Genomic DNA, 25,792 nt, shown 5'->3' with positions numbered 1-25,792 from the left:
ATTTTGTTCTGTCACTGGCCGCTTTGTGCATGCCTGACAGTTTTGAATTGGCCTCCGACAAATAAAAAGACAGTTTGTCCTGACCTTTACCAGCTATTAAATATTTAAAACATAAAGAGAATGTAAAGTTCCCTGCTCTTCAGAAACAGCTGCCGTTTTAGTAGAGTTTTCCACTCAGATGTATATTCTCATATATAAATGTAGTCATTTTCCTTCTGTAACTGATGGCCTTGTTCAGTTTTAAATGAAATCCAGGGTTAGATTTATGGGTTAGATATTTGAAAGTGTGAGTGGCACTTTGGGGATATGTCATGCTGCTCTGGTTTGAATATTTGACTCCCAAAACCTCATGGGGAAATGTAATCCCCAGTGTTGGAGGTGGGGCCTAATGGGAGCTATTTGGGTCATGCAGATGAATTTCCCATGAATAGATTAATGCCCCTATGTGGGTGGGGAGTGAGTGAGTTATCATTCCATTCATTGAGAGAGCTAGTTGTTAAGGAGAGCTGGGCACCTCACTCTGCCCTGCTTCCTCTGTCGCCATGTGACTTCTGCACAGTCCAGGCCCCCTTCAACTTTCTCCATGAAGGGAAGCTTCCTGAGACCCTCACCAGAGTGGATGCCGGCACGGGGCTCCATGTACAGCCTGCAGAGCTGTGAGCCAAATAAACCTCTTGTCTTTATAAATTATCCAGCCTCCAGTATTCCTTTATAGCAACACAAAATGTATGAAGACGCACTTTAACAATGCTCTTAAAGGATCAAAATTTTAACCATCAGAAATCTTTGTAAATATTGATCCCTGAGACTAGTATACTTGAATTTCAAAAATATGAGAGAGAACGCTCAAGTTCTGTGTCTCATCAAAGACCCAAGGACCAAAAACATCGACACCCACGCAGCTGGCTGTTGCCTGGGCCACGGGTCAATGTCTGCATGGACAAGCCTCTACTATGGGATTGACTCTATTAACATGAATTTACTATTCCAGGAAATTCTTGCCCAGGATAAAAAATGGAAAACATCTTCATTATCTTTTCCAAGAACTTCCTAACAATCCATTTACCCGAACCAGATAAAACCAGAACTACTCAATGTACTCTCATAATAAATACCCCTTCTCAGGACACTCATTCATGTCAAGTGATTGTTTACTCTTTGAGACTCACTTTGAAATCTTGGCTTTGCTGTGTGTCTTTCTCCTGAATTGTTAAGTTGTGAACTTGCCCAATTCTAATCATGCCCTCATTTTCAAGGGCCCTCCTTAAGCCAGACCCCTCAAATCACATAAATACCCTATGCTTGCTAGCCCCCTTTCCTCACATGCTGTTAAGATTCTGTCAAGGTAAACTCAGTTTTGTTTTATCAATAGATTATTTTGGTTGTATTTTGTGGCAGCCAGCATTTGACAGACCCAGGTAATGTCTACACACACCCACCAATGTATCTTCCATCCATATCCCCAATTTTTTGGTAATTAGGTACATAAATGCTTCAATTTTGAATCATCAAAAAGCTATAAGTGTAACTGTAAATGCTTTCAACAACTTTCTTGGATATTTCTGTGAACAAAAAAAAGGGAATGTTTTTATCTCTCCCATGTACCCTTTTCATCGCCAGAGATTCATCTAGATCAGCAGGAAAACTGTACGTAATCTACAAAATCAGGAAAGGAAGAATGGAGGAAAGGAGAAGAAACAAAAATAAGAAAATTTATTCATACTGATAACATGAGGTTTTTAAAAGTAAGTCAAATGTCAGTACAAATTCCTCAAGGGCAGCAGCAGAAGCTAACAGGTGGGCTTGGAAATGTTCAAAGTCCCCACAGGCACAGCAAGGCACCCTGAAGTTTTTTATAAAGGTGTGTCTGTGTGTTTTAACATTAATCGGGCATTTAATATTCACCAAAAATTTCCCAAGTGCTTTACACATATTATTTAGTTCCCACAACAACTCTGTAAATTATGAAATATGATAATCAGGAGATTTTTTTAAAGCATTCGTAAAGTGGCTCAGTAGCGTGGGCACAGCTGTATGCATCTTCTTCTCAGCACTGAGTGGAGCCTTCTCCCCATCACATGGAGGGAGTTCTGCCCTCCATCCCTCCAATCTCTCCTCTTAGCCTCTTGCCCCACTGGCTTCTCCTCCATCACAGCCTGGCTGCACTTCTTAAATCAGTAGCTGTGGAGCACTGAATTATGGCTCAAGACCACAAGCTGAAATAAAAATGTGTTGAATATATTGAGTTAAATAAAGTCTAGTTTTAAAATGAATTTTCCCTTTTCTTTTTATTCATTTTCAGTGGGAATGCTAGGGAATGCTAGAAAATATATAATTACATGTGTCGCTCTCACCAAATTTCTAGTAAACAGTGCTGTTTTACCATTTTTTCTGCAAGAAACAGAAAAGGTGTTCAAAAAGAAAAGCCAAGGAAATAACTTAGTTTTTATCTTTTCTACAGCTCAGAAATCACAATGTTTTTTTCTCTTTTTGTGAGGGAGAAACACCCCAAAACAGAAAATATCTAAAAAGAATGACAATTTTTACATGATCAGACAAAGTAAGTGGCTAAATCACACTCTAAAATCCACAAATGTATCAAATGTGCCTGATTTGATACAACCCGAAAACCTACTCATTTTAGCTTTTTTTTTTTTTTTTTAACAATTACCCATCTACATAACCAAATTCTGGCTCACAAGATGACCGTAATAGTTGGAATAGGATGGGCATGGTGGCTCTTACCTGTAATCCCAGCACTTTGGGAGGCCAAGGCAGGCGGATCACTTGAGCCCAGGAATTCAAGACCAGCCTGGGCAATGTGGTGAAACCTCATCTCTACTAAAAATATAAAAATTAGCTGGATATGGTGGCATGTACCTGTGGTCCCAGCTACTCAGGAGAATTTAATTACCATTTTCACAGAAATTCCATTTATCATTAGGGTCTTAAGAATCACAGAAGAGCTATAGGATGGCTTGGGTTGGCTTATGCAGGCTACCTACCATTCAGTGAATGGGGTACAGTTCATCTCAGTGGGTGTATTTTCATATTCTTTGTGCTGTATTGCTTAAGTTGATTATGTTTTCATTGTCTTGTTTTGTTGTATTATATTTCTGATGCACACAAATGAATCAAGCACACAAAACACTTATTGAAGTGAAATGGAGTGGTGGGAATTCCAATATAAAAATTTAAACTTAAAGAAGCATATTCCCATGAGGCAGATACTAACACTCTCACCAATGATAGATGGGGAAACTGAGGCATGGTTTTATTTCATGTCAGCTGCTATAACAAACTGCCATAGGCTGGGTGGCTTGTAAATGACAGAAATTTATTTCTCATGGTTCTGAGTCTGGGGAGACCAAGATCAAGGCAAGGTGAGGGCCTGCTTCCTAGCTCATAGATGGCTGTCTTTTTTGCTGCATCCTCAAAAAGCAGAAGAAATCAAGGTAACTTTCGGGGGTGTCTTTTGTAAGGGCACTAATCCTATTCTTGAGGGCTCAACCCTCATGACCTAATCACCTCCCACAGGCCCCACCTCCTAATATCATCACCTTGGGGGTTAGGTTTTCCACACATACATTTTAGTGGCACACAGAGATTCCTTAAGATAGGATTACAAAGCTCCTAAGTGGCAGAGCTTGGATTTTAACTCTACCATAGTGGGTCTGGAGCCCACACTTGCACACACTATAAAATGCTGCCACAAAATGAGTGAAGGAGACCTGTGCTGTTATTACCCAAAGCCTGTGAGATTTCTTGCTAAATTAATGACTACTTTTGATCCATTATTTACACTTAGTTAGTACTAATTTGGAGCACCTGCTAAGTTTGAAAAAAAGAAGGGCATTAATATTGGAATAAAACTGGCTAAACTTGAATGCCCATCCAGAAACTGTTTCATTCACAGACAGCAGCTGGCACTGCAATACGTCTCTTGATCTTAATGCTGTGTTGGAGGAAATAGGGGACACTGAAAATTTATCTATCAAGAAAGGGAGCGCATGCTTGGTGAAGAACTAGAAAGTGAGTTTATTTTTTCACATATTAGTATGCTCTCTAATAAAGGAGAAGGTGTAGGTGAAATTCAAGATTTTTTGTTATTTATTTACTTGTAGAGACAGGGTCTCACTCTGTTGACCAGGTTGGTCTTGAATTCCTGATCTCAAGAGATCTTCCCTCCTTGGCCTCCCAAAGTGCTGGAATAACAGATGTGAGGCACCGTGCCTGGCCCCAACATTTTTTTGAATAAAGAATGAGATAAAAATATTTTCTCATTACCCTGATAATGCTACTTAAAGCCATCTCTAAGATTTCATTGAGCTTTGTCAGTTTGGGATCTCAAACACATTCAGCGTCTTACCTACACTGAACCTGAACTTTAAAGCCAAAATGTTACAATTTTTAATGTTGAGAAACAAGATGGTAGGGTGTCCTGAATAAAGCAAACTATGAATCAAACAGTCCAATCACCTGAAGTTCAATGTTTCACAGTACTTGGTTACTCAATTATTTCTTTACTCACTGAAGAAAGAAATCAATGGCTCATTATTAGATTATTTATTTATAAATGACACTAAGACCAAATAGTTTCCAAAATGCTTCCAGCCCTACAGGTACAACCAAGGAATGAATTAGGACTCCACTTAGAGCTATTGTTCAAGTTCACACTTAATCTCCCAGTGTTTGAATGTGAGGTGTTTGTCACCTTAATACCTTTGAAGAATTGAAATTAGTAAGGAGAGAGAAATCGCAGCATTATTTCTGGGTCCAGTTTCAATTCAAATATCCAGAACTTCCTGTCAGAACCACTAAACAATTGCTATCATCTTAATGACTTATAATTATGTTAGGGTTTCCCAATTTAATAGAAATAAAGAGTAATACACTTAATTGTATTAGATTTGGTTTATCTGGACAACATTGAAGCCCCAGAAAGAGTAATTTTAAAAAAATAGGAAATTCTCTCTCTCTCTCTCTCTCTCTCTCTGACAAGAAGTCAGCTGGTAAGCAATACAATGAAGCTTTAGTTTCATCTACCTTTCTAATCAATCAACCTGTCATCCTCAAAGTTATCACATCATCTAAGATGGCTGCTGGAACTCCAGCCACTTCTCCTGTGTCCTACACTATGGAAGGAGGAAAGACCAAAGAGAAAATGGAACCCCCAGAGGTCAGCCAGATCCCTTTAATCAGCCACCCTAGACATCACCTATTCCACTTGTACTTACATTTCAGTGGCTGGAACTAGTCACATGGCCTTACCTAACTCGAGGGAAGTCTTGTCTTCTGGGTAAATAATGTGCATAGCTAAGAACTGGTGTTGGGAGTTCCGTTAGGAAGAGAGAATGGATGTGGGGGCGGACATCTCACTTTCTCCACCAGGAGATGTGAGCCAAGTGCATGTGGAGCTTGAACCTGTGGCTTACTTATCCTGGGTAGAATTGGATGAAAGTTTTTCAAATCATGGTATCACTTTTACTGCAATTTTAAAATTCATTATTTTTATAAGTATTATTTTTGTTTTATTATTTTTAAAATTGTGAACAGTCTTTTTTCTTCCTAAAAATGGACACTTGAAATTGTTGGACACTCATTAACGGATTAAATATGCCCAAAGTTTGATATGCACTTACCCATATGTTTCAACTAGAAGGGGCTAAAAGGCCCAGTTTTCCTGGACACCCATCCCAGTGGGTTCCACTGCCACTGAGCCTAACATCCCCACCGACAGGATGGGCATGTATTTGGGATTTCAGATACACCAAACACTTCACAATTTGCATATGACTGTGGAGCTGAAACACGAGCTACAGGAGGACCAGATCTCTACCCTGGTCCTCACTGTTCTCAGGAATGGGGAGAGGCCCCGGCACAGAGTTGGAACAACTGAGTGAATGAGTCAGTGAAGAAAGGACTTAGCGAGTGACATTGAAAAGGCCACCAGATACTCCCTATTCCTGTTTTCCCAAATGTAAAATAATATATGACCTAGTTCTGCTCAAGGTTCTTGAATAATAACAGGTGTGAGAACACAGGGTTAACTTTTAAAGAGTAGAGTTGTGTCGTATTTATCTCATTTATATACTCTATATCAACTGCGATCACTATTAATCTTCAGTGCGGTACTGCTTTTCAGTTTTAGAAATACTTGAGGTGCCCTGAAAAATTACCCAATAACTCATGTGACATAATCCCTAGTTCTGGAGTTTCTTTCCATTTCCACCATTCTTAATACCGTATGACCTTTCAGGAAAAAAAAAAAAAAAAAGCACTGAACTTGTCTAGACCCCAATTCCTTCTCCTATGAAATGCAGAAATATATAAAGTTCTAGAAAATGTGGAGAACTCAGTTATTAGGCAGGGTATGCTGAAAAGGATAGGGTTTGAGCCCCAGCCCTCCGCTGGCCAACGGTGCCTGCAGAAAGGTATTTAACCTCTCGCAGGGTGGGGCCGGGAGAGGCCTCGCAGCGTTCCCAGCCCCATCTCTGCCTGGAGCACACAGCGCACAGGTGGCACGCCAGAGCAGCCCCGCCGCCGTCACCCGGCCTGCAGCGCTCCCCGGAAGCCGGCTGCAGCCTCCCCACGGCCCGGGAACCTCCCGGAACCGCACTCAGCCCCAGCCTCTTCCACCTGCCCCTTTATCTCTGTTAGACTCGCCCCAGGTTGAAGTCTGGGCCCACCTCTCTTCCCCTCTGCGCCCTGGCAGGCACTCCCCCCACCCCGTCCGGTCCGGTCTGGGCGGATACTTCCCAGCAGCCCTGAGCTAAGAAGTAGCCTCAGCGGAGCTTGCAGTGAGCCGAGATTGCGCCACTGCAGTCCGCAGTCCGGCCTGGGCGACAGAGCGAGACTCCGTCTCAAAAAAAAAAAAAAAAAAAAAAAAAAAAAAAAAAAAGAAGTAGCCTCAGCTTCTACCATAAAGTGGAGATAATCCAGGATAGTTTCCAACATAAGTTCAGGCTTGAAATGTGACACATGCTTCGCCTGGCACACTGAGGGGCACGTCGGAGTCTCCCCCCCCCCACCCCGCCCTCCCACCTATTTGCAGTAACCACGGCTAAACTCCCCCCCACCCCCCCGATCGTGTGAAAGTCTACATGTGTGGACAGGAAAGGAAGCTAGAGAGGATGGAGACTTGGGAGCTCAAGTGTATCATCAGGGATAAGAAGAGCGAAGTGGAGAGGAGGTCCTGAGGTCTGGGCCGGTCCTGAAGTCTGAGCAAGAAGCTGCAGTCCCAGCAGAGGCGGCTCCGGGAAGGGGACGGGAGGGTCCTCACAGCCCTGCCTGGGGGTTTGAGGTCTCAGCGCCCTGGATTCCTTTAACAGTGGTGTGCCCCCTGCCTGGGGTGCACACCACTGATGCACCCACTGATGCACGCACCCGTCAGGCTGCCGTGGTGTCGCCAGGGTAGCAGGGCCCGGGGGTTTGCACCCGCTCCCCGAACAATGCCCTTCTCTACCCAAGCTCCCTCTCCCTGACCTACAAGGCTTGGAAGCGGGAGCTACAAGGCCCCCAGAGCTCCCCTGTCGGGTGAGCCCCTAGCCTGGCCCTCTGCCCTTCCATATTCCCATTCCCTCACCATTCTTCCCAGACCAGTTTTCCTTAAGAACACCTCCTACTCTCACATTCGCAAGAATCTTGGTCTCAGAAACTTCTGGTGGATCCGGGCGTGGCCAAACACTTGGCGGATCCGCCTCCCGGTAACCCCTTGAGTCCGTTGTCTTGATTGAGGCTGCCTGTCCGCGCCTGGACGATTTCAGAAGGGCCAGGCGCGGACAGGCAGCCTCACAAAATCCTACTGAGCAAGCTAATCGTTGTTGTTGTTGTTCCCACCCGAAACTTCTGAAAAACTACAATTCATATTAGCAAAAACTGTACGGTGCTTCGGCGAAATATGTGTCTTAGAGCCAAAAGCATCTGCATCTATATGAATACAGTTTTCACTTCTCATCTAAAGGTTTTTGGCACTAAGTAGGCAGAGCCTGAAAAATATTACAGCCTGACTCACGTTAGCTAATGTTATATTGATTTAGAAAAACAAATTGGCCAAGACGCAGTTTTTCAAAACTGCTATGCAATAATCTAGCGCTAATTTTTCCACTGCAATTACATTTGGATCTGGCACCAAACAATGAGTAAATCAACTGTTCAATAGCCTTTTTTAGCCTGTTCCTATGACTGAATTACACATTTCCCACGATGCTCTTAATTTCAAAACTCATTTCCTACCAGATTGGATAACATTTTTCTGAATGTCCTTCCATGATTTTGAGGCTGTTTCTGTAACTAATTCCTCAAACACCTGATTTGGTTAGGACACAGAGTGCGAGGAAAGCTTATGTCACATATAAATAAACTTTTCACTCTTTAGTGAAAGGATTGGTTTACATGATGTGTGGATTGTAATTCATTAAAATGGGAAGGGGGGATTTACATGCATTGCATAGACAGTAACAACAACGACCTTGTTTCATCAGCTTTTAGCACCTCATTGTAATTCTTCTTCCATCTCTTTTGCTCTAACAATTCTCTTTCAGTCAACCCTATGCAGTTTTCTGTTTGAAAATTAGTCTGACATATTCTCTGATTTAATTTGTCAAAAGCCCTGGTTAATAGATATATAGTCTATTGATTTCCACTCTTTCATTTTGTAGATCTTAATACAAATTTCTCTTTATAATGTCCTTTAATTGTCTCTAGAATGTTTGGGCTTCTTCTAAAAATTCCCATACTAAGTTTACTTTTATTACCTTTATGGAATGCAAAGATGTGATAAGGCAAAAGCATAACGTATAGCTATAGTGTGGCATGTCCTGTTTCTCCCAAGGATTACCAAGCAGACATCACTGCACTGTGTGCAATTTCTTCAGGGGTCATCTGCAGAGCAGCCCCCCAAGCAAGAAGGAAAGATTATCTTCCCTCAGTAATTTCCCACCTAGAACCACAGAGAGAATTCATCTCATACAGCTGGGCCATGAAGCTGTCAAGTGGATGTAACCTCCTCCCTTCAGGACACGTGGTCCTGCCTTATCAGAGAAGAAAATGGAAATGATGAGTTCCAGGAAGCTACTTCCTTGGCATACACCTAACGCTAACCCACTGTATGACAGCTGGGGCTGTCATAACAAATACCACATGCTGGGTGACTTAAATAACAAAAATTTATTTATTTTTTTTCACAGTCTGGAGGCTGGAAGTGCAAGATCAAGATGTCAACAGGTTGGGTTTACTCTGAGGTCTCTCTCCGTGGCTTGTAGATTTGTGGACGGTTGTCTTTTCCCCATGTCTTCACATGGTCTTCCTTCTTGTGTGTCTACATCCTAATCTTTTCTTCTTATAAGGACACCAGTCCTATGGGATTAGGGCCCACCCTCATTACCTCAATTTACCTTAATTACCTCTTTAAAGACCCTATCTCTAAACACAGTCACATTCTGAGATACTGTGGGTTAGGGCTCCAACATATGAATGGGGAGGGACACAATTTAGCCCATAACCCCCACTTTGGGTGTGTTGCAGCCATTTACTCTACTGGCTTTGGCAGGTCCATCAGGAATTCAAACCATAGATTTGTGGTAGGCTACGGTTTGAATGTGTCCCTTCCAAAATTCAGGTGTTGCCAATATGATAGTATTAAGAGGTGAGGCCTTTAAGGGGTGATTAGACGGTGAGGACTCCTACCAAGTTAATGGGAGTAAGGTCCTTTTAAAAAAAGCTTCACATAGCATTTAACTAGCTGGCTAGCTTTGTTTTCTGTTTTTCTGCTGTGTGAGGACTTTAGCAGCTGTCACTGACAACTGAATCTGTCAGCACCTTACCTTGGACTTTCCAGCCTCTGGAACTGTGAGAAAATATGTTTCTGTTCTTTTTAAATATCCCCATCTCAGGTATTCTGTTATAGCAACACAAATGAACTAAGACAGGATACAATGCTGGAGACAGAAGCCTGAGCCCTATTCAGTTCACTCTCCAGTTTTGCCAACATCTCATAGCTCCTTACCACAGCACTGCACTGCTGGACACGGAAACCCCAAGGGGTGCCCAAGACAGTTGATGCCTAGCAGGGCAGAGGGTGCACATTCCTGCTGGAGACCTGGGGGCTCTTAATCCAAAGCTACTGTGGACGCACATACAGAATTACTCATGACTCTGTGTCCAAGTTGACTCTCCCAACTATTGCTAGAGAACACCCAGAAAAGAGCCCAGGCTTCGGAGAGACAAGGAATGCCTGGGTTTTAGTTCAGCAACAAAGTTGGGCCTGAAACATGAAGACCAATGTAGAGCTAAACTCCTTTTTATTCTTTTCTTTTTTTAATTTCTATAACGATTCAGTTGAAACAAAGACTATCACAGACTGTAAGTCATAGACTCTATATGGATGGGAAGATGTCCTTACTGTGGAAAGGACCAAGTTGCAGATCTAGTTCTTTTATGTGTGATCTCGGATGAGTTTCTTACCTTTCTTTAACTGTTTCTCCCACTGTAGGAAACAGATTTAACTTAATTCAATATTTGTTGCACTTTCATCTAAGAATAAAAGACCCAGTCTCCTAGGTAAGTCCTTTAAACAACTCAAAGACGTCATGAGAGCAAGAGCTAGACTGGATACATTTTTGATATTGGGCTTTGCTTAAAAGGTAGGACCAGGAACCTCTCTTCTGCTGAATCAACACAGTGTCATTACCTCCGTAGACACGGGCCAAGTGCTGCCAATGAGGAAAAGGTGGGATCCCAGGAAAGAGATGCTGAGGTGAAATTTGCATGGAGAAAACTTAATGGGGAATGCCCTTGGGATCAAGTCCTAAGGAGTGAGAAGAAAGCAGGATAGGACAGAAGGAAGAGTTGAACCGTGATGTAGTCACCACCAAGATCTTGGCTGAGTCAAGGGAAGCTCTGGAACTGAGACAGCCTTGTAGAGCTCTTTCACTTTGAGGCAAGGGGACTTGCCCTTTGTAAACCCAGCCATCCCAGATAGATGAGTCCTTAGACTAGCAGCCCAGGAAAGGTTATACTACCTGGTCAAGTCAGCTCGGTTCTAGAAAGGGACTCAGCTGCCAGGGGCCAGTCACCCATACTCCCAGCAGCTGGGAGCTCAGTGCTTCGCCCTGGCCGTTAGAGACCTGGGTGGTGCACACAGCATGCACCTCAACTGCATTCCATTCACCAAGAAGCCTTCTTTCTCATCACTACATCGCAAAGCAGAATGTAGCAAGCAGTGTGATAGAGGGAAAAAATATCCTCAAAATAATGCTCTGAGAGCACACAAGAATAACTCTGATGAGATCAAAGAAAGCCCAGTGGAAGCAATAGCATTTGAGCTGGAATTTGAAGAATAAATGGAATTTTGGAAAACAGGATAAAAGATGGGCATTCTAAGTGAAGGAAACAGCATGAAAAGAGGAAAGATGTAACATGCAGGATGGAGTTTTTAGGTAAATATTGAGTGGTACAAACTGACTAGAGTAAAGGCAATAAAGGAAAAGAAACCAGGTGTCACAAAAGAATGGTGAGAGAAGACAGGAGGAAGCCTGGGGCCTACAATAAGGAATTGTGACATATCAGTGACACTCAGCAATGAGGTACAGTGAGCTAATAAGATGGACATTTAACCTGTAAAGTCTGTTTTAGTGCACAGTCTGTCACAAGATAAAACAATAGCTCTGGGCAGCATTATTTATAAGTATTAGGAACATCCTCAAGTTCTAGCTTCTGAATCATTTGGCTATTGAAGGAAACTGTGATTTAACTCAAGTCTCTACCACATATCCTATGGGCATTCCAGCACCTTCTCCAATACATATTAGGGTTCTCAGAAAGAGTACGTTCTTCTGGTCGCCACTCACTCTAAATTCCTGCCCCACAAAATTTCTGGTCACTGCTCAAAGCAGTCACAGCTGCTGGCCTTGTTCCACAAGACCTCTTCCATCATGAACCCAAGCAGTGCCCTCCAGGGAGGTTGATGACTAGCCTAAGATCACAGGGCCACCAAGATGCTGGCCCAGAATTAAGACCAGGTTTCCCTGACCCCAAGCCCAGCTTTTCAATCTTTCAACATTAGTGGTTGCAAAGGGGGAAAAATAAAACTCCCAGTACCATGTACAGATTTTACTGTTTTAATGTTTAATGTAACTTTTAAAGAAGACATATTATAATGTCTAATATATATTCACTACAAAGATGTGTGTGGCCATCTACTTATTATAATAGAATTATGAATTCTTTTCTCTGATTCACATTGTTTGCCTTTAATAAAAGATAAGGAATTTCATATATCCTTAGGAGAGTCACTTTAGCAACAGTTGGATAAATAATATAACATTATAAAAGCCTACAATTTTGTTACTAGTTCATAAACTATTCATTTTGTTTAAAAAATCAGAGTAATAAATGGCTACAATTTCAACAATATAATTTACAGTAATAGACTCATTCTCTTTTCCCTCAATAGAAAAGCTGAAAGAAGTGCAAAGTCTGTGACTGTGTTTAATATATATTGCAAGCAGCTCTTCTTTACTGTATTTCAGGAAGGATTCAGGAAAAAAAAAGTCTCCATATGTTTCTCTTGTCTGACTTCTAGTGGAAATAACAATAATCTTTTTCATTGTTATTTAATATCTGTTTGCATTTTTTTCTTGCAAATTCTTCTTTGACATGCAAGTGCGTTAGCAAGTAAATATAGAAAAGAAATTACACAAAGAAACACTACAAACAGGTTTTTAAAAATGTTAATCATTAAATATACACATTCTTTATCAGCAGCCATTTCTTTACATAGCAAATTGTTTATCCTGCCTTCCTCCAATAGTTCCCGAAGAATTTTCCTAACACCTATATATTTTTATAAAATTTTTATCATTAAACAGAGGAGTTGAAAAACCTGATCAGTAAAAACCTTCTTGAAAAACTAGTCTGAAGAAAAAAAATCTGTAATTTTATCCAGAAAAAACATATTACCAGGTGCTTTTGTGTGTCCTACTGTTCTCAGAAAACATGAAAGTTGGATGTGAATCTTGTTTTGATTATACATGCCAATCTGATTTATCAGAGTGCAATGACGAGGTGGTGTGTTAAAGTAGGACAGCTCTGGTGCAGCTAGACATTTTTACACCTACCCTCCCCCCGCCCCCCATTTTTAAAATTGCATTTCCCAAAACAACAAAAACAGCAAGGATTAAAAGAACCCAAAAAAACAAAAAACAAACAACAAACAAAAAACCACGAGCATGAAGAATACTACCCAGTGAGAGAGATCTCTGTACAACTGCATAGGTTTTGCTCTGGCTCAATGGTACCTGCAAGACATGAATGAGGGTAAAATCTAGTCCTAACCAAACTTACGTCCTGGTCTAGGCTGTGGCACAAGAGGAAATGGCTCTGCCTTCTTCTAATTCATCTACTTAAAAGGGGCTCCCTACTTGGGAGGCTGAGGCAGGAGTAACCCTGGAGCTCAGGAGTTGGAGTCCAACCTGGGCAAGAGAGAAAGACCCATCTCTACAAAAGCAAGGGGGACCACTGTGTGTAATTCACTCAAAGGAAGTCTTTGTCCTCTCAGTGGCCTTAAAACAAGAGTAAACAAAAGAGAAGAGCGGTGAGGAGTGTGATGTTTACAGTGGGTGAGAGAGACCTGCCAAAAAAAAAGACCAAGAAGTACCAGTCAGAAATGTAGAAGGCCTAGGCCAGGTGCGGTGGCTCATGCCTGTAATCCCAGCACTTTGGGAGGCTGAGGTGGGCATATCACAATGTCAGGAGTTCAAGACCAGCTTGGCCAACATAGTGAAATGCCATCTCTACTAAAAATACAAAAATTAGCCAGGCATGGTGGCACGTTCCTGTAATCCCAGCTACTTGGGAGGCTGAGGCAAAAGAATCGCTTGAACCTGGGAGGTAGAGGTTGCAGTGAGCCGAGATCACACCACTGCACTCCAGCCCTAGCAACAGAGTGAGACTCTGTCAAAAAAAGAATAAAAAGAAAAAAGAAAAGAAAAGAAAAAAGAAATGGAGAAGCCCTGGGAAAAAGACAGTATCATGGAATTCAGAGAAGCAGAAGCTCTGAAGTAGGAAGAAAGTTAATATCAAATGATCAAATGTAGCAAAGAGGTCCAATAAGATAATAACGGAAATGTGTTTTTGGATAAAGCCTCTGAAGATCATTAGGACCTTCCTCGAGCATTAACATTGGCAGTGGAGGCAGCAGGGGCTGTGGCAGAAGACGAAGAAGGAAAAGAGACAAAGGCTGGTGGGGCCAGGCAGTTGAATTTGTGATTGTCTTCAGCTGATTGCAGTAGAGAAAATGTGTGTTTGAGTTGGTTTCGGTAAGAATAAAATTTTTTAGAACACTGTAAATAGTGGAAGTTAAATTTCCTTAATTTCTGGGAATTTTAGGAATATCCAATGATATAAATGCTTATTTATCTGCAAGCCAATCAGAGTAGTGTCCCTTTAAGATATTTTTATAATTTAAGTTACTAATACCATCTGGAGGAAGGAAAATATTACACACTCACGCAATGAGAGATAAATGTCTTTCTAAATTACAGACATAGAAACATAAACAATATGACATAGAGAGAAAGCTTATAGCTTCAGTTCAGAATTTCAGCCATGGGTCAAAGTAACACAGAATTACAAAACTCACCAGGCCATATCGACAAGCTGTTCTCTTCCCAGAGAGTATGAATCCTTAATTGATTTGAGCTCAAAATAGACAATTAGAAAAGATGAACAGGCTAGGTGAAGTGGCTCACATCTGTAATCCCAGCATTTTGGGAGGTTGTGGCATTCAGATTACTTGAGCCTGGGAGTTCAAGACCAGCCTGGTCAATATAGAAAAATCCTATCTCGGCCAGGCATGGTGGCTTACACCTGTAATCCCAGCACTTTGGGAGGCCGAGACAGGTGGATCACCTGAGGTCAGGAGTTTGAGGCCAGCCTGGCCAACATGGCGAAACCCTGTCTCTACTAAAAATACAAAAATTAGTTGAGTGTGGTGGCAAGCACCTGTAATCCCAGCTACTTGGGAGGCTGAGGCAGGAGAATCGCTTGAACCCAGGAGGTGGAGGTTGCAGTGAGCCGAGATCGTGCCATTGCACTCCAGCCTGGAGGACAAGAGCAAGACTTCATCTCAAAAAAAAAAAAAAAACGAAAAAAGAAAAATCCTGTCTCTACAAAAAATACAAAAATTAGCCGAGTGTGGTGGTGCCCACCTGTAGTCCTAGCTACTCAGGAGGCTGAGGCAGGAGGTGTGTTTGAGTTTGGGAGGTTGCTGTGAGCTATGATGGTGCAACTGCACTCCAACCTAGGTGACACAGCAAGACCCTGTCTCAAATTTTAAAAAAAGAAAAACAAAGCAGGTTCTCTGTCATTTTTCACGTAGCAGACATAAGATTTCTATAAATCATCATTTCATTTACAGAGAAACCCAAATGGTTAGACAATAAAGTCAAAAGAAGCTGGCACCAGATATCAAGTGAATACTCAAAAAGAAGCATAATCAAAATATTACAAGGGGAGGATTTGGACAAGAGGCAGAGCACAGGACCAAATGTTGGACATACCCTTGGTCCACAGATGGTGGGTCAGGAAAGAGCCCTGTGAAGAAGGCCTCCTTACTGGGCAGAGTGAACAGGGCTTCACAGATGAGGTCCAATCCTGTGGAGTCACAGCACAAACCAAGTCACAGTGACAAACCAAAGGAGTCACAGTGACAAACCAAAAGCACAGGACAATTCCAGAGATGATTTTATTCAGGTTATTGAGATAGGGAGAGTGTTCATTTATAAGGAACATCTCCGAGAAAAGGAAGCAGCTAAACAAGAGATTCATTGAGTCTTCAAATGGGAGTCATGAGGAAAGATGGAGAAGGATCTTATCTCAGAATATTTGGGTTTATGGTTAGCTCTTTCTTTGGGAAATGATGAGAAGATTTTTGAAAACAAAAGGTTGTAGGGGGGCTTCTTCACCATTACTGTTTTTCAGGAGCACAGGGCTCAGGTCAAGTTCAATGTTGTCAAGCGTTTGGCTGGGTTTGGAGTATAGGGTCGAGGAGAGGCAAGAGGAAGGATTACCAAGGAGGACCAGGAAATTTAGGGTGCAATGTTCACCCTCTTATCTTGATAGAGATGATGGTTTCACCCATTATAGAAATGTGAAAGAATGCACATTTTAAATATGTACAGTTTATTGTACATCAGTGAAGCCTCAAGAAAGATGTTAAAAAACCTGCTTGATAGATTTGCCTCACTGGCATAATATTTCTTCTGAGGAAATATGCTAATTTTGTAAATTACTATATAACGTTCAAAATTTTGGAAGTCTGACTACTATTCAAGAGACATTTCATGTGTTCAAAAAAAAAATGAGCCTTTGTACCAAACTGTATCCCTATTTCAAAACTAATAATCATTTGAGAGATATAATTATCTTAGATGTCATAAATTGCTACCATTGTTAGAAACACTTAAAATTCAATTATTTGACTTAGGTTTATTTCCTCAAGTCAGCAATTATCATTATAAAAGAACAACTTTTCTGTCTTGTTCAATTCTACTCTGCTTTAATATATTAGAAAACCACCCTTGCAGCTGGGCGCAGTGGCTCATGCTTGTAATCCCAACACTTTCGGAGGCCGAGTCGGGTGGATCACCTGAGACCAGCAGTTCGAGACCAGCCTGGCCAATATGGTGAAACCCCATCTCTACTAAAAATACAAAAATTAGCTGGGTGTGGTGGCACACACCTGTAATCCCCATTACTCGGGAGGCTGAGGTGAGAGAATCACTTGAACCCGGGAGGCAGAGGTTGCAGTGAGCCTCTGTGCCACTGCAGCCTGGGCAACAAGAGCGAAACTCCATCTCAAAGAAAAAAAGAGAAAGAAAGAAAACTACCTTTACACACCTCAAGTGGAAACATATTGTGGCATTTAATTTTGCTGTATTGAATTATGTAAGAAACTGCTACAGTCATCAGTTACTTAGCATTAAGTTCTTAATCATTGAAATATATCCTGATCGTATATGGCCATACCACTCTGAATGTGCCTGATCTTGTCTGAAATATATCCAGATTATTTCAGCAGTATTTTTTAAATGAAATCTAAGTTCATTTATATCTACAAAATTGGGCCTAGGTATTGCCCACATATTGTGATTCTGTTCACATTGTTTTTGCTCTTCTGTATACAAATTACTTATAACAAAAATACTTTATTCCTGTTATGGGTTGAATTGTGTGCCCCAAAATTCATATGTTGAAGTCCTAACCCCTAGCACCTCAGAATGTGACTACAGCATTTGGAGATAGGATCTTTAAAGCAGTAATTAAATTAAAATGCGGTCATTAGGGTGGGTCCTAATCCAGTATGACTGGTGTCCTTATAAGAAAATGAGGCCTGCACAGTGGCTCACACCTGTAATCTCAGTACTTTGGAAGGCCAAGGTGGACAGATAGCCTGAGTTCAGGAGTTCGAGACCGCCCTGGGCAACACGGTGAAACCCCGTCTCTACTAAAATACAAAAATATATATATATATACCTGGGCTTGGTGGCGCATGCCTGTAGTCCCAGCTATTCGGGAGGCTGAGGCAGAAGAATCGCTTAAGCCCCAGACGCGGAGGTTGCAGTGAGCAGAGATCACACCACTTTACTCCAGCTTGGGCTACAGAGTGAGACTCCGTCTCAAAAAAAAAAAAAAAAAAAAAAGGAAAAAAAGAAAATGAGATAAGGCCACTGACTATACAGGAAGAATGCCCTATAAACATGAAGACAGCCACCTACAAGCCAAGGAAATCCTTCCCTCAGGACCCGCAGAAGGAACCAAACCTGCCCATGCCTTGATCTCAAACTTCTTGCCCACAAAACTGTGAGACGATAAATATTTCCTGTTTAAGCTATGCAGTTTTTGGTACTTTAACATGGCAGCTCTAGCAAACTACAACAATCCCCAACGAACTTTTATTTATTTTTCTTTTTTTCTCATATACTTTTGTTTGTTTGTCTGTTTTTGAGACGAAGTCTTGCTCTGTAGCCCAGGCTGGAATGCAGTGGCACCGAAACCTCCGCCTCTTGGGTTCAAGCAATTCTGCCTCAGCCTCCCGAGTAGCTGGGACTACAGGCGCCTGCCACCATGACCGGCTAATTTTTGTATTTTTAGTAGAGACGGGGTTTCACCATATTGGCCAGGCTGGTCTTGAACTCCCGACTTCGTGATCCGCCTGCCTCGGCCTCCCAAAGTGCTGGGATTACAGGCATGAGCCACCGTGCCCAGCCTCTCATATGCTTTTAAAATGTATCACTTACTCTGTTTATACCATATTAGATTTTTAAAAATTTTAAACTTTCAGCCAGTCTTAAAGACTGTCATGTGAAGTCCGCCCTGACTGAGATATAAGCAGCAGGCTGACAAACTAATTATCTTGTTACTTCTTCTATCTTGTTTAAAACAAACAAAGAAAATATAAGTGTGGAAGAGAGGAACTGCTCACACTAGGTAGCTGCAGTTTCTCCCTGGGCAGCTGAGGGGCGCTCAAACAAACGTCCCCACTGGGGCCCCTGCGTAGGTTGTTTCAGCCACAAAAGCAGTCAGTCAGCGTGTGCTGTTTACCTTCCCTGCACCAGCGCTGGTGTGCAGGTCTGAAACTCAGAGACAAAAACGAAGTGTTTCTTATCCAAGGTAAAGGAGCATTTGACCTGCTCTGAGTAAATCCGGGAAACTTGCCTGATAAAAAAACACAGTTTTTGGTAGAAAAAAAAATATGTAGTTGATAAACTTGTTAAAAATTAGTGGGAAACATAAGTCTCAGCTTTCAAAAGTCCATCCTAGCATTAAAAATTGTTGTTAGCTAAAAATGTGAAATAACAGTTCTGTCATTTTACAACTCATGGTATTCTCTCTCACGTGCTCCATATGATAAATTTCAGTAAATACTCAAACACATTACGGAGCTGGAGTTTTGTGATTTTCCAAATTCCATTTTTATGAAGGCTGGTTGCTGGTGGGAGAGGGATTCGTGCTGTAGGTGGATAAATTGGCAATACTGCTGTGAGAATGTGGAAGTACATTTTCAAATGATTAAAATAATAATACTAAATGTGGGTGATCACATTTCCTTACTATTAAAAGTATACGATTCTTCATGTTGAATGGATTTTTTAATTAAGTAAATTACTAATTGATGCCATATGTAAGAGTTTTTTTGAGATTAGAGGCCAGGCGCACTGACTGACGCCTGTAATCCCAGCACTTTGGGAGGCCAAGGTGGGCAGATCACTTGAGGTCAGGAGTTCGCGACCAGCCTGGCCAACGTGGTGAAACCCCGTCTCTACTAAAATACAAAAATTAGACGGGTGTGGTCGCAAGTGCCTGTGGTCCCAGCTACTCGGGAGGTCGAGGCAGGAGAATCACTTGAACCTGGAAGGTGGAGGTTGCAGTGAGCCGAGATCACACCACTGCACTCCCACCTGGGCAACAGGTGAGACTCTATCTCAAAAAAAAAAAAAAAAAAAAAAAAAAGATTAGAACATCCCTGGTAATTCAAGGAGTAATTTAACTCCTTGTCTTTGGTGAATTGTCAGATTCCTGCAACTTTGGAGTCTAGTGTTAGGAGCTTTGGGGCTGGTTGGCTCATTGGCTCAGTGAGTTCAGCCAGACTCCAGGGTCTTCCCATTTCTGTGCTCTACTCTCTTGAGCAGTACCTGTACTCCCCACAGCTCAGGCTGATGTAGACAGAGGATGAAGATGGTCCCCTTCTTCCTATGGCACTCCCTTAGGAACAAGGATTCATTTCCTGGAATATCTGATACAGACATCTCACCCCTCTTCAGCCTTTCCTTGAACCAATTGCTCATTAGGGAATGGGAGACAAATTGGACTCCTGCTGTCTCTTTCCCCTCCACTCTTGCTATGGACTTTCAGTGCAAAGTAGACTGACACTATCCTCCTGGTCCTCGCCATGCCCAAGCTTCTTGCTTTCCAGCGTCCCTGTATTTGCCTAGCCTCAAAGATCCAGCCAGTCATGACCCATCACACAGGACTGATGTTCTCCCCCTGGGTTCCACAGATCCCTTACCTTCAAGATTGCCCTAGCGTCTTCAGCCCTTCAGTCGCTATCACTAAGCTGCCTGTGAGCTAATTGCCTGGCCTATCACCATAGAACAAAGTGCCCAGGGACATTCAGCAGAACCTGAGATCTCTCCCAAACCCAGAGCTTTGCAGGTGATAGTGGCCACAGATCTAAGGAGATGCATGATTCAGTGATAAATGGAGAGGAAAGGAAATGTCAGGGCACAGTGTTTCCAGAACCTTCTTCTCAACAATTAATTGCCATTCTTATGGGAGCTCATTTGATTTGGGATTCTCTCACTTCAACCAAAAGAATCCTGTCTTGTCAACCACCCACTAGGTGGGCCTTCCCAAGGCTTGGAGGCCTTTGCTGGAATTAACATCCTGGTCAGAGGAATCACACAGAACTGACATGCCCAGTTTCCCACAGAAAAAAATAAAGCAAAAGCCTTAAGGAGCTTCAAGGACAGCTAGGAAGACCAAATGCTAAGTACAAAGGAATAAGAGTGGGGTTATAAAAAGGAAACAGAGATAAGAACCAGGAGGGTATGAGACTGAAAGAGGGAGGTGCAGACAGAACAAGCTGGGCGGGTTTGCAGATGGGTATAGGAGAGTGACATATTGGCTAACAGGGACAGACTTTGGGTGATGTCCATCTTCTTAAAATAGGATACAATTCTATTTACTCTCAAGGTTGATGTGAGGTAACTTTCATAAAGTGCTAAGCACATTCTCTGGGCAAATGGTAGAAATTTTTCGTCCTCAGTTTTTGTCAAAATGAAGAAAATAATGCATAGATGAGTAGTGGAGAAATGTCATATTCTACTTCTTTAATTAATACATGTTTCTTGTTCCTCCTGCCCTTGTACACTGAGGAAACAGATGTTCTGCATTATTAGGGATCTGAATTCTCCCAGGTAACCACTTCCTCCATCAGTCTCTCCTCACCTTTGTTAATGTCTTGGCTCTGAGTCAGAATCTTAGAGGTAACGTAGGTTCTCTTATCTCTAAAATAATTGATTGTGTAATTAAAAAGTGCTTGGCACATTGGCTGTTAACATTTTATTATTATTAGTGTCATTAGGAACTAAATCTGAGAAGTAAATTTCTGATCTACAACATCTAAAGCAAAAATATATTAATGAAGTTTTACTTAGGTCAGGAGAAACACATGGGCCAAGCAGAGATTTATTGATCTATCTTTTTTTATTGTAATCCAAATATTTTTGTGTATCTTCCTTCTGAAGCATTTTTCCCACAAGTAGTATATTCGTCGAGCTTTGCTACCACAACCTCATTTCTTTGGCAGGTTAGGTGACTTTGCAACAATATATTAAATTAGTAATAAATTAATTATGATGTATAGAGGTGATAAAAATATGTTAATGTGAGTAATATGTAATTTAAATCCCCAATTCAGAATTAGTCAATTAAATTCTTTAGTAAGCCATGTTTATATTATTTCATATTCTGAGTTTCCTTCAAGAATCAAGGTCACATAGTCCGGAGGAAATTGTTCTAGACTTTCTTTCAAATTTAAATACTTTCTGAGAACAAAATACTTCAAAAAATTGTACCCCAAAATACTACACACACACACACACACACACACACACACACACACACACACACACACACACAGAAAGAGAGTCATGATTACATAGATACTGGCATAGAGATCAATAGATGGTTGGGTGGGTGGGTGGATGGATGGATGGATGGACAGATGAATAGAGACATCAAGGTAGAAAGAACATTAAATTAAACTCAGTTGACACATATTCTAGCTTTCTACCTGCCTCTAACCTTGGTTGAGCCATTTATGTCCTCTAGCTCAATGTTCCACAATAATACAATAAGAAGTTGGATTAGATGATCTTTTAGGTATTTTTTCTTCAAAGGACATATTATTAAAATCCTCCTAGTGAAGCAATTTCAACTCCTGCAGTCATTTTGTCACCTCTCTATTGCTCCTTGTATCTCCCTCTGAGTCTCCTTTTTAACACAAGCACTGATAATAGAAGCTAATACTCTTAGAACAAAAGTCATCTGGTCAAGGCTGCAGTTTACAGTGGATGTTAGATCAAAGCAAAATTAAGAAGGTTAGAGTTTGCTTAAAAAACATGTTGGAACAAACAAAAGAAATTCTATGCCCATCAAGAGAATTGTTCGGGAACGAGTAATCTCATTTAATCGAATATTTCCACATTAATATAATTTTCTGTTTGGGGCTGAGTCACATGCAAGCTTATTTATGCATGAACAGATCAAATCAACATCTTTCTTCTAGATTTTACAGCCACTTCCCTAAGAGGACCTAAGGGAAAGGATTCTAGTGATGACAGATTATACTAGAATATCAAATTCACAGTAGAAAAAAATTACAATATGCGTTGAAATTCCTAAAAGGTGGGTACTTTCTAACTTTAGAATGGAGAACCATTAACACATGGTAAATTTCTTCTGATGTATACCATGAGTAAAAAATTTGTTTCGTGACATTATTTGTGGAAAGAAAAAGTAATATTTATGTTTTAATTCAACTATCACAAGCTTGGTTTTGAAATAAATGCTATAACTGGAAACCTTTGGTCAAAATTAATGACGTCCCAAATATTTCAGCTAAACTAAATATTGATTCTTTGAAAACAAACAAGGTGTTCATTATGTAGGAATAAGAGACTGAGGCTAGCCAAAGTTTTCTATCATCCATTTATCCTCTACTTTAAAAAGTATTAAACATTTAGATATGATTTACATTAGCTTCAGCCTTCTACTGGAGTTATCCAAGCCATCTGCTAGGGAGATTTCTTCTTTTTTTTTCAGAGGTTCAAACCAGTTCTGACCCCTACCTTCTTTTGAAGGGCAGATAGAGAGTTTAATGTGTAACCACAGGACAGTTTAAGGTCCCCAGCACCCCATATTACTTTTCCTGGGGTAACAGAGCTGATGAGCCATTGTGCACGGAATCATTCTGTATTTGAGGAAAGTTCAATAGGCTGGTCCCTCTTTTCATTTAATAAGAACGTTAAAAGTGCCACAAGAATTAAAAACAGTCATAGCTTGCTGCCTTCACAGGACTATTTCCATGAGGAAGGGACAGCAATCGTGCCTATAAAGAGTCTCTAGAAATGCTTGGTCATATACATTATACTGATATATATGTGTGTGTGCATGCGTGTATGTGTGTGTGTTTGAGACAAGGTCTTGCTCTGTTACCCAGGCTGGAGTACAGTTTCACAATCATAGCTCACTGCAGCCTCAAACTCCTCCATTCAAGCTATCTTCCCACCTCAGCTTCCTGGGTAGCTGGGACAACAAGCACATGCCAACACACTTGGCTATCTTTTCTTTTCTTTCTTTTCTCCTTTCTTTCTCTTTCTTTCTTTCTTTCCCCTCCCTCCCTTCTTTCCTTCTTTCCTTCCTTCCTTCCTTCATTCTTTCTCTTTCTCTCTCTTTTTCCTTTTTTCTTTTTTTTCTGTAGAGATGGGGTCTCACTATATTGCCCAAGCTGGTTTCAAAATCCTTGGCTCATGATCCTTCTGCCTTGGCCTCCCAAAGCACTGGGATTGCAGGCATGAGCCGCCATGCCCACTACTGGTGTTCTCAGTGGTAGAGATTATGAAGAAGAATTGGGACACATAAGAGAAGCTATTTTTACTCTGGACCAGAGTTTCTCTGCATTTCCCACCTGCAAATCTGTGAGCAGCCACAATTGTCTCTTTGTTGCTGTTGCTTTATCAGTTGGATGGGCAGTTGGAAGTCTCCAGAAGGAAGTTAGGTTTTTCTGTCCAGGATGGAGGCTGGTATAAGACTCTTCAGAGGCTGCACCCTGTCATGCTCCCTCTGCACACTCCAGACTGCCTGTATGGATGTAGCAGGTGCTCATTTAACTCCTTTATTTATGTCCTTGGGAGTGCTGGTGAAGGCACACTGTTGTCCTCCCTCATTAGCCAGCTCCTTGGCAATCCTATTTCAGAAGGGGCAGACACTTTGTGTGTCTTCCCCATCATCCCTCCCTACCAACTTCCCTGGAGACTATCTCAACATGTTCACCTGAGATGCATCATGTGTTAATGCAAAGTAAAGACACCTGTATAATAACATTTTTAAATAATCAAAAAAAAAATAGCAAGGTATCAGTGATGACTGTCCTTCACGGATCTCCGTGACTGAGGTCTATGAAGGAGACAGGAAGGCAATGGTTACAGCTGGGAAAAGACAAAGCCTTAGACTCCGGTGCACTGTTCTCTTTCAACTTCAGATGGTTATCATGGCATTTTAATTACTCTCCTATAATAATTTCCAACTGGGTTCCTGTCCCAGGGTTACTTATCCTCTCACTTTCATTCTCTTTCCCCAGGCATCTCCAGACAATTCATACGCGGGTTTACCAAAGCTTGAGCTAGTCTCAAATTTCCTCGTGAAGCGGGCCCAAGGCTGATAACAGCCATGACTGAAGGTCCCTTCTCCTGCCTTTATTCTTCCTTGCTGGGCCTAATCCTTAGCGCTTCTCAGTTCCTACCTGGTGTGAAATCCAAAAGAGGTTTTCTTCAAGTCGTTCATTAAACTTGGTGTGCTCAGTGCTTAAAGTGGGTGTTTAATTCTTCCTATTTTATGCTCATCTGCATACAACTTTTTAAAAATCAAAAGGTTATACTTTTAAATGTTAATGTATTAGATTTTACATTATTAATTAAAATGAACTATCTTTATTCATCAAATTAGCAATGATGGGGGTTTTGGAAAATAAGCTTTCTACTAGACTGCTGTCAGAAGCATTGATTGCTTCATTTCTGGAGGAAGATTTGGCAATATGTATCAAAAGCCTTAAACATGTTAGTACTGTTGACCTAGCAGTTTTATTTCTAAATATGAGACCTAATAAAACAAATATATGTTCAAAGATGCTCATAGAAGCCTTGTTTATAAGGAATATATAGAAATATGTTGTTAAGCAAGTGGATAGTTTAGTCATTTATGGCACATTTTTACGGTAGAATGCTATATGACCATTGAAAGGTGATGAAGAGTTAGTCTTCCTCAGTATCTGGGGATTGGTTCCAGGACACCTTCTTCCCCACCTCTCACTGTGGGTATCAAAAGCCAACAAAACTCAAGTCCCTGATATATAATGGCGTAGTATTTGCATATAACCTACACACATCCACCTGTATACTTCTGTTGTTATTATTTATTTATTTATTTATTTATTTATTTATTTTTGAGACAGGGTCTCCCTCTGTCACCCAGGCTGGAGTGCAGTGGCGTGATCACAGCTCACTGCAGACTTGACTTCCAGGGCTCAAGCGATTCTCCCACCTCAGCCTCCCCAGTAGGTGGGACCACAGGTGTGCACCACCATGCCCAGCTAATTTTTGTAGTATTAGTAGAGACGGGGTTTCACTGTATTGGCCAGGCTGGTCTCGGACTCCTGAGCTCAGGCAATCTTCCTGCCTTGGCCTTCCAAAGTGCTGGGATTACAGGCATGAGCCACTGCACCCGGCCCTCCTGTATACTTTAAATCATCTTTAGGTTATTTATATTACCTAATACAATATAAATGTTATCTAAATAGTACTTGTACTGTAATGTGTAGGGAATAATGACAAGAAAAACGTTTGTACATGTTCAGTACAGACGCAATTTTTTTTTGAATATTTTCAATCCTCAGTTGAATCTACAGATGTGGAACTCACAAATACGGAAGGCCAAATGCATATGCACTAAT

At 41.3% G+C, this 25,792-nt stretch overlaps 1 annotated feature.

The window, feature by feature from the left end:
• Positions 5,996–6,942: an enhancer, noted in NCBI's record as "H3K4me1 hESC enhancer chr8:53013330-53014276 (GRCh37/hg19 assembly coordinates)". NCBI's record gives its function as "activates a minimal SCP1, AML or CMV promoter by ChIP-STARR-seq in naive and primed H9 embryonic stem cells {active_cell/tissue: H9 hESC(naive and primed)}" and the evidence as "EXISTENCE:reporter gene assay evidence [ECO:0000049][PMID:30033119]".

The sequence above is a fragment of the Homo sapiens genome, chromosome 8, assembly GCF_000001405.40.
Source record: "Homo sapiens chromosome 8, GRCh38.p14 Primary Assembly".
NCBI classification, from domain to species: Eukaryota; Metazoa; Chordata; class Mammalia; order Primates; family Hominidae; genus Homo; species Homo sapiens.
This window is presented reverse-complemented; position numbering and strand designations above follow the sequence as displayed.